General features: G+C 41.2%; 1 pseudogene, besides 1 other annotated feature; it reads right to left on the minus strand.

Annotated features, from left to right (window-relative positions):
• Nucleotides 424-1,015: an enhancer, noted in NCBI's record as "H3K27ac-H3K4me1 hESC enhancer chr11:6164539-6165130 (GRCh37/hg19 assembly coordinates)". NCBI's record gives its function as "activates a minimal SCP1, AML or CMV promoter by ChIP-STARR-seq in primed H9 embryonic stem cells {active_cell/tissue: H9 hESC(primed)}" and the evidence as "EXISTENCE:reporter gene assay evidence [ECO:0000049][PMID:30033119]".
• Nucleotides 8,710-9,664, minus strand: OR52B1P (olfactory receptor family 52 subfamily B member 1 pseudogene; annotated as a pseudogene).

An 18,169-nucleotide genomic window follows, 5' to 3' on the forward strand; every position in this document is an offset into this window, starting at 1 on the left:
GTGATTCAATGACTTACTCTGTTAATAAGGTTATAACTTCAAATTTTTGGTTAACACAATAAAACATGATTTGCTGTTCACAGAGAAAAGAAGAAAATGATGATGTTGCTGGTTGAATTGTGCTACTGATTGGCTCTCCTCCAAGTATTGACTTAGGATTCCAAACTCTTCTTTACTTGAAATGCTGCTATTTTCAGCATGTGTTCTCTGATGTCACCATGAACAAGAAAGAGCACATGGAAATGCTACACTGGATATTTAAGTACCTCAATGTGGAAGTGACACACATCACTTCTGCCCACATTTCTTTGGCCATCCTAGTTATGTAGTCCCATCTAGAAAAAAAGATTATTATTTGTTTAATGTATCACTAGCTTGTTAGCTGTTTCCCAGGAACAGCTCTCTCCTATGGAAGGAGCAGAATGGCTTAAATGTTACTGCATCATAGCCTAATTGACTGCTGGAGATCATGTGAATGAGTTTACACCTGGGAATGTGATTGACAGTTAAGAGGACTATGAGTTCTCTAGACTGTCTCACCCATCTTCATGGCTGGAAGTAAATACCAAAAATGGAGGAAAACAGTATAGATGCAGAATTTTATTTGCAAGTGGGGAGATAATAATCTGATAACAGAAATTGAAAAAATGGTGATCTGTGCTATGCAATAGACAAATAGTTGGTATACCTACAGCATGTCAGGAGAATGGACCAGCTGCCTCCTAGACTTGTAGCTCTAGCAGAAGAGATGTTAGAAAATACAGTGTTGGTGAAGATGGCCGAATAGGAACAGCTCCGGTCTACAGCTCCCAGCGTGAGCGACGCAGAAGACGGGTGATTTCTGCATTTCCATCTGAGGTACCGGGTTCATCTCACTAGGGAGTGCCAGACAGTGGGCGCAGGTCAGTGGGTGCGCACACCGTGCGCGAGCTGAAGCAGGGCGAGGCATTGCCTCACTTGGGAAGCGCAAGGGGTCAGGGAGTTCCCTTTCCTAGTCAAAGAAAGCGGTGACAGACGGCAGCTGGAAAATCGGATCACTCCCACCTGAATACTGCACTTTTCCCACGGCCTTAAAAACCGATGCACCAGGAGATTATATCCGGCACCTGGCTGGGAGGGTCCTACGCCCACGGAGTCTCGCTGATTGCTAGCACAGCAGTCTGAGATCAAACTGCAAGGCGGCAGCGAGGCTGGGGGAGGGGCGCCCGCCATTGCCCAGGCTTGCTGAGGTAAACAAAGCAGCTGGGAAGTTCCAACTGGGTGGAGCCCACCACAGCTCAAGGAGGCCTGCCTGCCTCTGTAGGCTCCACCTCTGGGGGCAGGGCACAGACAAACAAAAAGACAGCAGTAACCTCTGCAGACTTCAATGTCCCTGTCTGACAGCTTTGAAGAGAGCAGTGGTTCTCCCAGCACGCAGCTGGAGATATGAGAACGGGTAGACTGCCTCCTCAAGTGGGTCCCTGACCCCTGAACCCCGAGCAGCCTAACTGGGAGGCACCCCCCAGCAGGGGCAGACTGACACCTCACACGGCCGGGTACTCCAACAGACCTGCAGCTGAGGGTCCTCTCTGTTAGAAGGAAAACTAACAAACAGAAAGGACATCCACACCAAAAACCCACCTGTACATCACCATCATCAAAGACCAAAAGTAGATAAAACCACAAAGATGGGGAAAAAACAGAACAGAAAAACTGGAAACTCTAAAAAGCAGAGCACCTGTCCTCCTCCAAAGGAATGCAGTTCCTCACCAGCAACGGAACAAAGCTGGATGGAGAATGACTTTGATGAGCTGAGAGAAGAAGGCTTCAGACGATCAAATTACTCCGAGCTACGGGAGGACATTCAAACCAAAGGCAAAGAAGTTGAAAACTTTGAAAAAAATTTAGAAGAATGTATAACTAGAATAACCAACATAGAGAAGTGCTTAAAGGAGCTGATGGAGCTGAAAACCAAGACTCGAGAACTACGTGAAGAATGCAGAAGCCTCAGGAGCCGATGCGATCAACTGGAAGAAAGCATATCAGTGATGGAAGATGAAATGAATGAAATGAAGTGAGAAGGGAAGTTTAGAGAAAAAAGAATAAAAAGAAACGAGCAAAGCCTCCAAGAAATATGGGACTATGTGAAAAGACCAAATCTACGTCTGATTGGTGGACCTGAAAGTGACGGGGAGAATGGAACCAAGTTGGAAAACACTCTGCAGGATATTATCCAGGAGAACTTCCCCAGTCTAGCAAGGCAGGCCAACATTCAGATTCAGGAAATACAGAGAACGTCACAAAGATACTCCTCGAGAAGAGCAACACCAAGACACATAATTGTCAGATTCACCAAAGTTGAAATGAAGGAAAAAATGTTAAGGGCAGCCAGAGAGAAAGGTTGGGTTACCCTCAAAGGGAAGCCCATCAGACTAACAGCAGATCTCTCAGCAGAAACTCTACAAGCCAGAAGAGAGTGGGGGCCAATATTCAACATTCTTAAAGAAAAGAATTTTCAACCCAGAATTTCATATCCAGCCAAACTAAGCTTCATAAGTGAAGGAGAAATAAAATACTTTACAACAAGCAAATGCTGAGAGATTTTGTCACCACCAGGCCTGCCCTACAAGAGCTCCTGAAGGAAGCGCTAAACATGGAAAGGAATAACCAGGACCAGCCGCTGCAAAATCATGCCAAAATGTAAAGACCATCGAGACTAGGAAGAAACTGCATCAACTAACGAGCAAAATAACCAGCTAACATCATAATGACAGGATCAAATTCACACATAACAATATTAACTTTAAATGTAAATGGACTAAATGCTCCAATTAAAAGACACAGACTGACAAATTGGATAAAGAGTCAAGACCCATCAGTGTGCTGTATTCAGGAAACCCATCTCACGGGCAGAGACACACATAGGCTCAAAATAAAAGGATGGAGGAAGATCTACCAAACAAATGGAAAACAAAAAAAGGCAGGGGTTGCAATCCTAGTCTCTGATAAAACAGACTTTAAACCAACAAAGATCAAAAGAGACAAAGAAGGCCATTACATAATGGTAAAGGGATCAATTCAACAAGAAGAGCTAACTATCCTAAATATATATGCACCCAATACAGGAGCACCCAGATTCATAAAGCAAGTCCTGAGTGACCTACAAAGAGACTTAGATGCCCACACATTAATAATGGGAGACTTTAACACCCCACTGTCAACATTAGACAGATCAACGAGACAGAAAGTCAACAAGGATACCCAGGAATTGAACTCAGCTCTGCACCAAGCAGACCTAACAGACATCTACAGAACTCTCCACCCCAAATCAACAGAATATACATTTTTTTCAGCACCACACCACACCTATTCCAAAATTGACCACATACTTGGAAGTAAAGCTCTCCTCAGCAAATGTAAAAGAACAGAGATTATAACAAACTATCTCTCAGACCACAGTGCAATCAAACTAGAACTCAGGATTAAGAATCTCACTCAAAACCGCTCAACTACATGGAAACTGAACAACCTGCTCCTCAATGACTACTGGGTACATAATGAAATGAAGGCAGAAATAAAGATGTTCTTTGAAACCAACGAGAACAAAGACACAACATACTAGAATCTCTGGGACACATTCAAAGCAGTGTGTAGAGGGAAATTTATAGCACTAAATGCCCACAACAGAAAGCAGGAAAGATCCAAAATTGACACCCTAACATCACAATTAAAAGAACTAGAGAAGCAAGAGCAAACACATTCAAAAGCTAGCAGAAGGTAAGAAATAACTAAAATCAGAGCAGAACTGAAGGAAATAGAGACACAAAAAACCCTTCAAAAAATTAACGAATCCAGGAGCTGGTTTTTTGAAAGGATCAACAAAATTGATAGACCGCTAGCAAGACTAATAAAGAAAAAAAGAGAGAAGAATCAAATAGACGCAAGAAAAAATGATAAAGGGGATATCACCACCGATCCCACAGAAATACAAACTACCATCAGAGCATACTACAAACACCTCTATGCAAATAAACTAGAAAATCTAGAAGAAATGGATAAATTCCTCAACACATACACTCTCCCAAGACTAAACCAGGAAGAAGTTGAATCTCTGAATAGACCAATAACAGGAGCTGAAATTGTGGCAATAATCAGTAGCTTACCAACGAAAAAGAGTCCAGGACCAGATGGATTCACAGCCGAATTCTACCAGAGGTACAAGGAGGAACTGGTACCATTCCTTCTGAAACTATTCCAATCAATAGAAAAAGAGGGAATCCTCCCTAACTCATTTTATGAGGCCAGCATCATCCTGATACCAAAGCCGGGCAGAGACACAACCAAAAAAGAGAATTTTAGACCAATATCCTTGATGAACATTGATGCAAAAATCCTCAATAAAATACTGGCAAACCGAATCCAGCAGCACATCAAAAAGCTTATCCACCATGATCAAGTGGGCTTCATCCCTGGGATGCAAGCTGGTTCAACATACGCAAATCAATAAATGTAATCCAGCACGTAAACAGAACCAAAGACAAAAACCACATGATTATCTCAATAGATGCAGAAAAAGCCTTTGACAAATTCAACAACCTTCATCCTAAAAACTCTCAATAAATTAGGTATTGATGGGACATATCTCAAAATAATAAGAGCTATCTATGACAAACCCACAGCCAACATCATACTGAATGGGCAAAAACTGGAAGCATTCCCTTTGAAAACTGGCACAAGACAGGGATGCCCTCTCTCACCACTCCTATTCAACATAGTGTTGGAAGTTCTGGCCAGGGCAATCAGGCAGGAGAAGGAAATAAAGGGTATTCAATTAGGAAAAGAGGAAGTCAAATTGTCCCTGTTTGCAGTCAACATGATTGTATATCTAGAAAACCCCATTGTCTCAGCCCAAAATCTCCTTAAGCTGATAAGCAACTTCAGCAAAGTCTCAGGATACAAAATCAACATACAAAAATCACAAGCATTCTTATACACCAACAACAGACAAACAGAGAGCCAAATCATGAGTGAACTCCCATTCACAATTCCTTCAAAGAGAATAGAATACCTAGGAATCCAACTTACAAGGGACGTGAAGGACCTCTTCAAGGAGAACTACAAACCACTGCTCAAGGAAATAAAAAAGGATACAAATGGAAGAACATTCCATGCTCATGGGTAGGAAGAATCAATATCGTGAAAATGGCCATACTGCCCAAGGTAATTTACAGATTCAATGCCATCCCCATCAAGCTACCAATGACTTTCTTCACAGAACTGGAAAAAACTACTTTAAAGTTCATATGGAACCAAAAAAGAGCCCGCATCGCCAAGTCAATCCTGAGCCAAAAGAACAAAGCTGGAGGCATCACACTACCTGACTTCAAACTATACTACAAGGCTACGGTAACCAAAACAGCATGGTACTGGTACCAAAACAGAGATATAGATCGATGGAACAGAACAGAGGCCTCAGAAATAATGACGCATATCTACAACTATCTGATCTTTGACAAACCTGAGAAAAACAAGCAATGGGGAAAGGATTCCCTATTTAATAAATGGTGCTGGGAAAACTGGCTAGCCATATGTAGAAAGCTGAAACTGGATCCCTTCCTTACACCTTATACAAAAATCAATTCAAGATGGATTAAAGACTTAAACATTAGACCTAAAACCATAAAAACCCTAGAAGAAAACCTAGGCATTACCATTCAGGACATAGGCATGGGCAAGGACTTCATGTCTAAAACACCAAAAGCAATGGTGACAAAAGACATAATTGACAAATGGGATTTCATTAAACTAAAGAGCTTCTGCACAGCAAAAGAAACTACCATGAGAGTGAACAGGCAACCTACAAAATGGGAGAAAATTTTCGCAACCTACTCATCTGACAAAGGGCTAATATCCAGAATCTACAATGAACTCAAACAAATTTACAAGAAAAAAACAAACTCCATCAAAAAGTGGGCAAAGGACATGAACAGACACTTCTCAAGAGAAGACATCTATGCAGCCAAAAAACACATGAAAAAATGCTCACCATCACTGGCCATCAGAGAAATGCAAACCAAAACCACAATGAGATACCATCTCACATCAGTTAGAATGGCAATCATTAAAAAGTCAGGAAACAACAGGTGCTGGAGAGGATGTGGAGAAATAGGAACACTTTTACACTGTTGGTGGGACTGTAAACTAGTTCAACCATTGTGGAAGTCAGTGTGGCGATTCCTCAGGGACCTAGAAATAGAAATACCATTTGACCCAGCCATCCCATTACTGGGTATATACCCAAAGGACTATAAATCATGCTGCTATAAAGACACATGCACACGTATGTTTATTGCGGCATTATTCACAATAGCAAAGACTTGGAACCAACCCAAATGTCCAACAATGATAGACTGGATTAAGAAAATGTGGCTCATATACACCATGGAATACTATGCAGCCATAAAAAATGATGAGTTCATGTCCTTTGTAGGGACATGGATGAAATTGGAAATCATCATTCTCAGTAAACTATCACAAGGACAAAAAACCAAACACCGCATGTTCTCAGTCATAGGTGGGAATTGAACAATTCCCACCTGTGGAGTGTTGGGTGGGACTTTGGAGTCTCTCCTGTGGAGAGAATTTGGGTGTGGTCTCTACATTGTGAAAAGGGAGCAAATAAATATTAAGTAACCAAAAGTACAGATGGTGACAGAGACAATTAATACTGCAAATCCATGAGTACTCCTATATTTCCCAGCTTTCCCTGCAGTTGAGTTTGGGCCATGAGGCCACAGGCTTATCAGTGAAAATGTGAATAAAAGTGATGAATTACTTAAGACCAAGACAGTTAATAATTGCTCTATCTCATGCTTCTCTCTCTTTCCTGGCTTTAGCAACTCTGAAAAATGTATGTTTACATAACATCACAAGATGGAGGGATTCAGGATTCCTGAGCCACTAAATGGATAATAGATCCTATTGACACACACTACACTTTAAAGGATAGAGGTATGAACTTTGTTTTGATAATTCACTGAAATTGTATGATGCATTACTGTAGCATAGCCTAAGCTACCCTTCTAATACAGACATGTTTATTTTGAGATACCTACTAAATATACAACTGGAGAAGTCAAGAAATAGTTCACTATATAAATGTGGATCTCAAGGGAAAAGGCTGAGCTGAAGGGAGCAGTTTGGAAGTAATCATAATTTATAAATGGAATTTAAAGCTATTCAAATTTAGCTCTGATTAGATTTTTTAAAAGGTACAAATAGGTAAGAGGAACTAACATCATAGAATATTAGCTTGCTTCATTTTTCTAACATCTGAATATATGATATATCATTTTTCCTATTATCAGTGTGGGCCCATAACTTGTTCTTTGTTCCTGTGAGTTCAGACCCTCAGCTCTCTATGAGTAGTGCCTGTGTCAGTGTCACCTGGCCCATTTCCTGGATGAGTAAAAGGATTTTTTTTTTATATTTATTTATTTATTTTGAGACGAAGTCTCACTTTGTCGCCCAGGCTGGAGTGCAATGGCGCGATCTCAGCTCACTGCAACCTCTGCCTACTGGGTTCAAGCAATTCTCCTGCCTCAGCCTCCCGAGTAGCTGGGATTACAGACACCCGCAACCATGTCTGGCTAATTTTGTATTTTTAGTAGAGATGGGGTTTCACCATGTTGGTCAGGCTGGTCTTGAACTCCTGACCCCAGCTGACCCACCCACCTTAGCCTCCCGAAGTGCTGGGATTACAGGCATGAGCCACTGTGCCCAACCTGTAAAAGGATTTTAAAATATAATAATGGTGATCGTTCCTTACATATAAAATATAATCAATGCAAACCTTAATCCTTTTTCAACAGCTTAGTGGAGTTCCCCCAACACACACCTTTTTTTTTTTTTTTTGAGACAATCTCTTGCTCTGTCATCCATGCTGGTGTGCAGTGGTGTGATCTCGGCTCACTGCAACCCCAGCCTCCCAGGTTCAAATGATCCTCCTGCCTCAGCCTCCCAAGTAGCTGGAATTACAGACATGCGCTACCATGACTAGCTAATTTTGTGTGTGTGTGTATTTTTAGTAGAGATGGGGTTTCTCCATGTTGGCCAGGCTCGTCTCGGGCTCCTAGCTTCAAATAATCCATCTGCCTCAGCCTCCCAAAGTACTGGGATTACAAGTGTGAGCCACCATTCTGGTCTGCTTCATGTTTTTCAAAAGCATTTTTTAAATATTTATTACCCAGTTTGATTTTCACCACAAACTTGTGATAATGACAGCAGTGATGCTGGAGATGATGATGATCATGACACAGCCTTGGAAGGTAAGCAGGAGGAGGCAGAAGAGCCTCTGGAAATATTGGGACTCTCATATACATCAAATCTAAGACATCTTCCTCAGGCAACAAACTTCAAGTTAAAATTATAGCTAACATGAGATCCCACGTAATACTGGGCAATGTGCCAAGTAGTTTACATATTTAATTTAATCCTTACAAAAACTTTAGAGCATAGATATGAGCAGTTCAACTTTACAGGTTAAAACTAAATTTTCAAAAGATGGGAACCTCTCCATGATTTTTCAAAATCAGAAAGTGAAGGAGCCAGGATTTGAATCCAAGTATATTTTATTCCAAAGTCCATGTGCTTTCTGCTGCAACACACTATAGGGCCTAAACTTGGGAACTTGATTGGCAACTTCTCTTTTCTCCTACTGGTAAGAGAAAACTGTGAAGAGACCATGATGTCTCAAGACTTCCCCACCACAGATAACATATGAGCCATACTGTCCCTGATTTGCTTGGTCTTCTCTCCGTAGATAATGGGGTTAAGCATGGGGGAACAAGCAAGTAGAGATTTGCCAGAAGTATGTGGACATGATGGGGGATATTCTTGCCAAAGCGGTGGGTCAGGAAAGTAAAAAATGATGGGATGAAGAAGAGGAGAACAACTCCAATGTAGAACCACAGGTGTTAAGAGCTTTGTGCTGGGACTCCTGGGAAGGAAGTCTAAACACAGCCTGGAGGATCAAAGTGTAGGAAAAACCAATGAATGCAACATCTACCAAAACCGATGCCATTGGCACTGAAAAGCCATACCAGATATTGACAGTTATGTCAGCACAGGCCAATTGGGCCACCCCAATGTGCTCACAGTATGAGTGGGGGATGATATTGGTCTGACAGTATGGCAGCCTCTTCAGCAGGAATATGACAGGAAAAATTGTCCCAATGCTTTGTCCCCAGATTGTCAGGGTCATTTTTCCATTTACCATAGAAGTTAAGATGGTAGTGTATCTCAAGGGAGTACAAATGGCTACATAACTGTCAAATGCCATGGCCAGCAGGATTCCTGACTCAGCCACAAAGGCAACATGAATGAAAAACATCTGAGTAATGCAGGCATCAAAGGCTATCTCCCCAGCGTGGACCCAGAAGATCGCCAAGGCCTTAGGCACAGTGGTGGTGGATAGCAGGATATCAGTGCCAGCCAGCATGGATAGGAAGACATGGAGGGTGTGTTCACTGAGGACAACTAGGATGAGGGCTCCATTTCCCAAGACTGCAGTGATGTACATAAGGTAGAAAGGAATGGAAAGCCAGATGTGGTATTGCTCCAGTCCTGGGATGCCAAGGAGAATGAATAGAGTGGGATGGAAGGTGGTGAGATTAGCACCAAACATGCCTTCTTTTGGAGTCTCTCTATGAAGACTAAAGAACATGAGAGTTAGTCAGCAGAGCCAGTTGTAAGTTCCACTAAAAGTTGAACATGGAATCAATCACTAATGCCTTGACTGAGAGTATATAATGTTATTCTTCCACTTCTCACATTATAATTGCAGATACAAATATAAACAAAGGTTTCTGATCACATCTCAGCAATATCTAGAAGCCATACATACCTCCCCATTCTCATTGGCATGTTCTTGCTCAGGCTTTGATCATCATTTACCTGTTCTGTTGCAACAGTGTCCTAAACTAATCTGGTCTCCCTGTCTTCCAGCTTCCCAACCTCAACTCCTTCACATTCATCAGCTATGTTGCAGTCTGGTTGGTATGCTCAAAACAAATATCTTCGTCTGTTTTCTCTTATTACTCTTATATAATTATTTATTGACTTATGAAGTCCAAAGTTCTCAAGCATGCAAAGCCCTCCACAATCCCACTGTTACTTTCTTCTCCAGCTTTAATCGCCTGTAGACTCTAATAAAGCTAAATTAGATTATTTATACTAAATATTCTCCACACAAAACCTGGGTTTCTAACTCTCATGACTTTTCTCAAGTTTTTACCCTAACCTGGAACATACTTTTCTATCTTTAGTGTTTGTTGAAACACTGATCTTCCAATTCACAGCTTAAATATTTATTATTGGGGAAGCCTTTCCTAGGTTCAAATCCTAGCCTTCTGATTTTCTGATTATTGGCAAAAAGAGTTTTTCACATATCAGAAATTTAGCCTGATCTGTGAAATTGAACTATCCACACTTATTTTGCAAGAATTAATTTAAATACTTTCTGCAAACTGCCAAGCATAGTGCCTGGAAGAGAAACACCAAACAAATGCTAGTTATTGGTATTATGTGGATCAGTACAACTTAGTAGACATGTTAGAAACCAATAAAAATATATTTAGAATTCAAAATGTGATAAAGTAGCATTCAATTTAGTGGGGGAAAGGAAAGCCTATTTGATTAATGGCTTTGAGATATTGGACTATATTATTTTTGTAAGAGAATAAAATTAGTTCCCACCTTACTCAGTAAACAAACAGAAATTCCAGATTAATAAAATATGTACATTTTTAAGATGAAACTATAAAAATATTTTCTAAACTTAAATGAGGGTCTGAAGCAGAAACATGATAAAATGTTTTGAAGGTTGAAAGATCTGACTGAGATAAGAAAACCAAATTTCATAGAAAGTAGCCACTGAAGGATGCAATTATGTAAAAATGTAGTCAATAATAAATAACAATTTTTGGAGAAAAAAACACAAAACATGTAATATACAGGAGGTTAATATATTCTTAAACACTAAAAGTTGGTATAATTGAAAAAGAAAAAATTAGAAAATGTCCAAAGAATTAAAATAGATAAAGTCAATGAAAAAAACAGATGGCCAATATACATATGACTAGATGCTTGACCTTACAAAATTTCAAGAAATGAAAATTAGCATCATCTTGAAATATCATAATTCTCTTATTATATTGGAAAACTTTAGGAAAACAGCCCCCACTGCTGGTGGCAGGTAACTTAGTATAGTGATTTTGGAAAGTAATTTAACAGTAGCTATTAAGAATTCTAATTGTTCAAATCATTTAATCTGATAATATCACTTTTGGCAACTACCTGCTGAAATTACAGCTTAAGAACATAGAGATATATCTATAAGGATATTCTTTGGTACATTGCTGCAATGGCAAAAGAAACTGTTAAAACTTCCATATCCATATTACAATGGAATGTTTTGTTTCCATTAAAAATTAAAAAGTATTCATCATGGCATACAGTTTGTTTATTTATTTATTTATTTATTTATTTATTTATTTATTTATTTGAGGCACAGTCTCACTCTATTGCCCAGGCTAGAGTACAGTGGCATGATCTCGGCTCAATGCAATCTCTACCACCCGGGTTCAAGCGATTCTCCTGCCTCAGCTTCCCAAGTAGCTGGGACTACAGGTGCACACCACCATGCCTGGCTAATTTTTGTATTTTTAGTAAGACAGGGTTTGGCCATGTTGGCCAGGCTGTTCTTGAATTCCTGACCTCAGGTGATCTGCCCGCCTCAGCCTCCCAAAGTGCTAGGATTACAGGTGTGAGCCACCATGCCCAGGCTCTTGTAGTTAAGTTTAAAAAAGCAAACTGAAGATTAAAATGTGTAAGATAATTCTTTTTTCTGTCTATCAGGATACTTTATATTATGAATAAGAGAAAATCCAACTCGATTTTGGCCTGCAACAAAGGGGATGTCTTTGCCCTGTAACTGAAAAATATGACTCTAGTATCAGGTTTATCTAAAGATTCAAGACATTATTGGGGGCACTATTTCTTTATAACTCTCTTAGCCCTCCAGATATTGACTCTCCTAGGACCAGAAATAAGGTGAGATGAGTAAGACACTTACCTTGAGGGCAAAATTTAAGTAGGTACCAAAAAACCACAGTAAGCAAGATAAATACTTTAATACAATGTTTCAGAATGAAAATTAATGCAAAAAATTCACAGTGAACACAATATTAAAATTTTAAATAAAGATAGGATCTGACAGTGCTATATACTGAGCTATTGTTTGGAGTCTGAAGCCCTTATAAATGTTTTCATGTATTATTAATAGCTAAATTTTTTCAATAATTTTATTTTGAATATATTATTCATTATTTTTTCCATTAAAGCCAATAAAATTTTTTTAATTCTAATTTTTATCTAAATAAAATATTTAAACTTATACTAATGTTATGAGTTTTAATATGCTTACTTTTAGATATTTCAATATATTTAAAATACTTTAATATTCCAGAAAAAAAAATTAACCCTAGTCCTAGCCCTGCATAGGAGAAATGTCTGCAGCAGTTCAAGATGTCAAGATGTACACATTAGATAGTGTGTACTTATAATACACTGTCCAGAAGAATTGTGAAGATCTTGTCTGAATCAACAGTTTATTGGATTTATTTCAGGAAAACCTAAAAATCCTAGGAAACAAACATTTATTCCCTGCCCCAAAACTTACCCCAGTTGAAGAGAAAGTTATTCTCCAACATGGGGAAGGAGCTGCCAGATGCACAGTATGGAGTGAAACAGGACGGTAATTGTACTTCATCCTTAGGAATCCCTGGGGTGAGGAGACAGCTTCTACCCTACTAGGTATTTAGGGAGTGTTTGGTTTAATTAGACAGATGGAGACCCCAGCAGAACCAGTCTCCAGTGATCACTGCCTCAGGAACCAAAGAGGATGGGTAATCTAACTGTCCTTCCTGCAGCGCTCTGTACATACTGTGTTTCCTAATGACTCCATATCTCTAACACATAAACACAGAATGGATTAGAGCTGCTACTAGTTAATACGTAGAATATTAAAGGCCAAGCTGTACCTACTAGACCTCAATATACATATAAACATGTGGAGAGATAGAAGAAATAGTAGGTCAAAAGAAGCTAAGTGTATGGGTGGGTGGGTGTGTGTGTGTGTGTGTAAGTGATTCCAGTTACAAAACTAGACAATATTTAACAAGGGTTCAGAGGTCAATCACCTCACCAATATTTCAATCCATAAATATACATATGTATGCTCTATGCTAGATATTGGAACTATAATGATGAGGAAGACATTCTCTGCCCTCACAGAACTCAAGTTCTCGTGGGTTCATAAGTAGAGTTATTAATATTTAGTTGAGATGATAAACGTCGTTGGTTTGGAGACCAAGAAGATAAGGTGATTACCTCTGAATTGGGGGGATCAGTGAAGAGTTCAAAGAACTCTACCATTTACCAAGTAAGTGACCTTGACTACTTATTCTCTCTGTGCCTTGGGTACCTCTGTGTATTAACCAGAGATAATAGCAGCACTATCTAATGGGGTTGTATGAGAATTAAATGAGATAATGCAGCAGAGAACTGAACATGGTTTCTAGCATAGAGTCATCCCTTAATAAACATGAGTTGTTGAGAGGAGCAGAGCAAGATGTTCAAATAGAAGCCTCCACTGAGTGTCCCCCAACAGGAACATCAAACTTAACAACTATTTACACACAAAAACACAGCTTCATAAAAACCAAAAATCAGGTGAGCAGTCACAGTGCCTGGTTTTAACTTTATATCACTGAAAGAGGCACTGAAGAGTGTAGGAAAAATAGTCTTGAATCACTGACGCCACCCCTCCCCCACCCCCCAGCAGTGGCCACGTGACACAGAGAATCTGTGCACTTGTGGGAGGAAGAGCGCAGCGATTGTGGAAGGTTTTGCATTGGAACTCAGTGCTGCCCTGTCACAGTAGAAAGCAAAACCAGGTTCAACTCAGCCAATACCCACAGAGGGAGCATTTAGATAAGCCCTAGCCACAGGTGAATCGTCCATGTCAGCGATTGGAACTTGAGCTTTGGTAAGTTTCACCACCACAAGCTAAAGTTCTCTGGAGTCCTAAATAAACTTGAAAGACAGTTTAGGGCACAAGTTCTGCAACTCATAGGCAAGTTCTAGTGCTGTGGTGGGCTCAGAGCTAGTGGACGTGGGAGGCATGAAATCTAGTGAGACACCAGCTGAGGTGACTAAGGGAATGTTTTTACCACCCCTCCCCCAACCCCAGGCAGCACAGCTCACACAAATGAAAGTGACTCCCTTCTGCTTGAGGAGAGGGAAGTGTAAAGAGGACTTTGTCTTGCAACTTGGATATCAGCTTAGCCACAGTTGGATAGGACACCAGGCAGAGTCATGAGGCCCTCATTCCAGGTCCTAGCTCCCAGATGACATTTCTAGACACACCCTGGGCCAGAGGGGAACCCACCATCCTGAGAAGAAGGACTAAGTTCTGGCAGGATTCATCAGCTGCTGACTAAGGAGCTTTTGGTCCCTGAATAATCAGCAACACTACACAGGTAGTACCACAGTAGTAGTCGTGGGCTTTAGGTGAGACTCTGAGACGTGCTGGCTTCAGGTGAGACCCAGCACATTTCTAGCTGTGGTGGCTATAGTGAGAGATTCCTTCTGCTTGAGAAAAGCAGAGGGAAAAGTAAAGGGGACTTTGTCATGCATCTTAGGTACCAGCTCAACCCCAGTGAGGTAGAGCATCAAGTGGACTCAGCGTTCCCAGTTCTAGGTCTTAGCTCTTAGATAGCATTTCTGGACCTGCCCTAGGCAAGAGGGGAGCCCACTACCCTGAAGGGTGAGTCCCAGGTCTGGCAGCATTCACCATAGCTGACTGAAGAGCCCTGAGCCTTAGGTAAACATCAGTAGTAGTTTGGCAGTACTCCCCATGGGCCATGGGGTGGTGGCCATGGGAAGAAGCTATTCTGCCTGGGAAAGGAAAGAGTGGGATCTTCCCTTTCCTTCCCTGGTATCTCGTGATTTGAGTGCCAGCATAGCTGCAAAGAATAGAGCACCAGGCAAATTTACAAGGTTTTTTACTGCAGTCCCTGGTCCTTAGACAGCATCTCTGGACCTGTTCAGGCCCTGGGAAAACTTATCGCCCTGAAGGGAAGGACACAAGACTGGCTGGCTTCATTGCATGCTGATCATAGACCCCTAAGGCCTTGAGCAAACACAGGTGGTAGCTAGGCAGTAAATAAGGGAAGAGAACAAGAGTCTCTGCCTAATAATACAAATAATTCTTCTGGTTATTATTTAAGACTGACAAGGTGGTGCTTCTATAAGTATGCAAAACACCAGTGTTACTAGGCTTGGGGTGCCTACTAGTGCAGATATGGCTTAGGTCAAAACACCCAAGTCTCTCCTTTGACTGGAGCAGTGAAAAAGAACAACAACAACAAAATTTAAAACAACACCCAACAAAAGAAGATTACTACAGTAGGTGTAAGATTTTTCATTTGCCAGTTTTTAAGTTTCTTTTTTTTCTTTTTGAGATGGAGTCTCACTTACCTTGTCTCCCAGGCAGGAATGCAGTGGCGTGATCTCGGCTCACTGCAACCTCCGTCTCCAGAATTAAAGTGATTCTCCTGCCTCAGCCTCCCAAGTAGCTGGGATTACAGGTGTGTGCCACCACACCTGGCTATTTTTTGTATTTTTAGTAGAGACGGGGTTTCACCATGTTGGCCAGGCTGGTATGGAATGCCTGACCCCAGGAGATCCACCCACCTTGGCCTCCCAAAGTGCTGGGATTACAGGCAAGAGCCACAGCGCCCAGCCAGTTTTGAAGTTTCTTAATTGAATTACTGGCTTTAGGGTTGAGCCCTTAGAAGAACAGGGCCAGGAAAGGGGTCTCTGGTGCCTCCTGTTTTTCCCAAGTAGTCCAGGCTGTTAGAGCTTGAATATCTGCTTTAAATTAAACTGAGTTTAACCATAGCAGTTTTTAATAAAGTCCTTTTAGAATTTCTTATGCCAAACGGCCCATATTTCTGGCTTTTGAACTTTATCAAAGGTAACCTCCCAGATGCTTAGAGAAAGGGAAATTTAAGACAGTCTGTGGAGAAGAAGAGAATAGACAAGGTCACACAGATAATAAACCAGAAATAACTTACTTCCTATATGGGGAATCCAACCCAGACCACCACTGTGAAAGTGTAAAACCTTAGCTACTGAGCTACACAGCACAGGGCAGTCTCCATTCCTTTTCCCAGAAGGAGTCTAGAGTAGTTCATTTTGAGATTGCATAGTCTTTTAACTGTTTAATATATTTTTTAGAGGTAACTATGACATGAACTCTAAAATTCCTGTTCCCTGGAAGGTGGAGACCAAGAGAAAGTACATCACATGGTTAAAAGGTCAAGCTCCTAAGGACATTAAGCAAGGTGGAGACTTCATCCCATTTTTTTGTTTGTTTTTGCTGGGTCGTCTTGAAAAGTGGGTTTACAGGTGTTCTAAGCCCATGCTTTATGCTAAAGTACCCCTCAACACAGAAAAATGGATTCATTGCACAAAATACACCAGCTTAAGACTAGCCTTAGAATTCTTTTTCATATTAATAAAAACTTTACAGAGGAGATAAACGTTGATTTTTTTTCCATTCATTCAACTGTTTGCACAGAGAGAAAGAAGCCAGAAATCTGACTGCTAAGAAATTCTAACCCTTTTGCCGGCATGCCAGGCTTCTGGCTTCCCTTTCCCTGAGTGGCCCTAGTTTTCTGGCTTGCAGCCCCATTGCCCTAGGGGCCAAGCCACATCATAAAGGAAAATTATTTTTTTTTTGTTCTGGCCAGAGCAAAATACATGTGATAAAACATAAACATTAGCCACTCTGTTTAGCACCCAATAGAACGAGCAAGGCTTAAATTTGCCCCCAAATGGGCCCTGTCATCGTTAATCCAACCTCTAACTTGGAGTTTCCACACGTGGTCTCTGGGCAAGATGGTTGCGCTGAGTAACAGAAAAGATAGGAAAGGAAAAGTAGAGATGGAAAGTATTGCCTGTGGCAGGGTAAGGAGAGTAAAGAGCTTAGGGAGGCCAGAGAAAAGACCCACTCATTGCAGCAACAGTGAAAAGTTCAGGCAGCCGCTTGTCAGTAGTAGCAAAGGGATCTTTTCCAGCAGTGCCATCAGCGCTCAAGTTTCCCCTCTTAGGGAGGAAAAAGCTCCCTATGTCCCATGATCCTGTACATGCCCAGCCCTGTAACCCACAGCCATCAGCAATGAGTGCAAGGTAGATTAGCCCAAAGAGAATAGAAGTTAACATTCCATAGTGCCAAACCTGTTTTTAGCCGAGAGGGTCTTTACCGAGAGGGGCCTGTAATGCCCTAAATCTTAGAAGGGACTCTAACCCTCCTAAGTTGGGCCTCTAATCCAAGGTCGGTCAAGCATCCTTGCCTTTTATTAAGAGGGGTCTCTAACCTACTCTGTCTTAGGAGAGACTCTAACTCCCCTAAGTAGGGCCTCTGACACAAACCCATTCTTCACCAGGGTACTCCACAACTTGCCCAAACTCATCCAATCAGTGCTGCAGTCTGTTTCCTTTGGTTCAGTGGGCGGGGGTGGGGGGTAGGGGGGCAGGGGGGTCTCCTCAGTATTGTCCCTTTTGTGGTTGGTGAGAAAGATGTTACTGGACCCCACCACTTACCCAAAGTTAGCCTTTGGGTCAGGGGTTTCCACAATGTAGTCGCTTCTGTGGTCGCCCGAAAGATGTTACGGGACTCCAAGCTTTACCCAAAGGTAGCCGTTGGGTCAGGATTTCTGCATTATAGTCCCTTTGTAGTCACCAGAAATATATTACAGGACAGGGGTCCCGATATAGACCCCAAGAGAGGGTTCTTAGATCTCACACAAGAAAGAATTCAGGGTGAGTCTGCAATGCAAAGTGAAAGCAAGTTTATTAAGAAAGTAAAGAAATAAAAGAATGGTTACTCCATAAACAGAGCAGCCCTGAGGGCTGCTGGTTGCCCATTTGTATGGTTATTTCTTGATGATATGCTAAAAAAAAAAAAAAAAAAGGCGGGGGTGGATTATTCATCCCTCCCCTTTTTAGACCATATAGGGTAACTTCCTGACATTGCCATGGCATTTGTAAACTGTCCTGGTGC

Source organism: Homo sapiens, chromosome 11 (genome assembly GCF_000001405.40).
Source record: "Homo sapiens chromosome 11, GRCh38.p14 Primary Assembly".
Classification (NCBI taxonomy): Eukaryota; Metazoa; Chordata; class Mammalia; order Primates; family Hominidae; genus Homo; species Homo sapiens.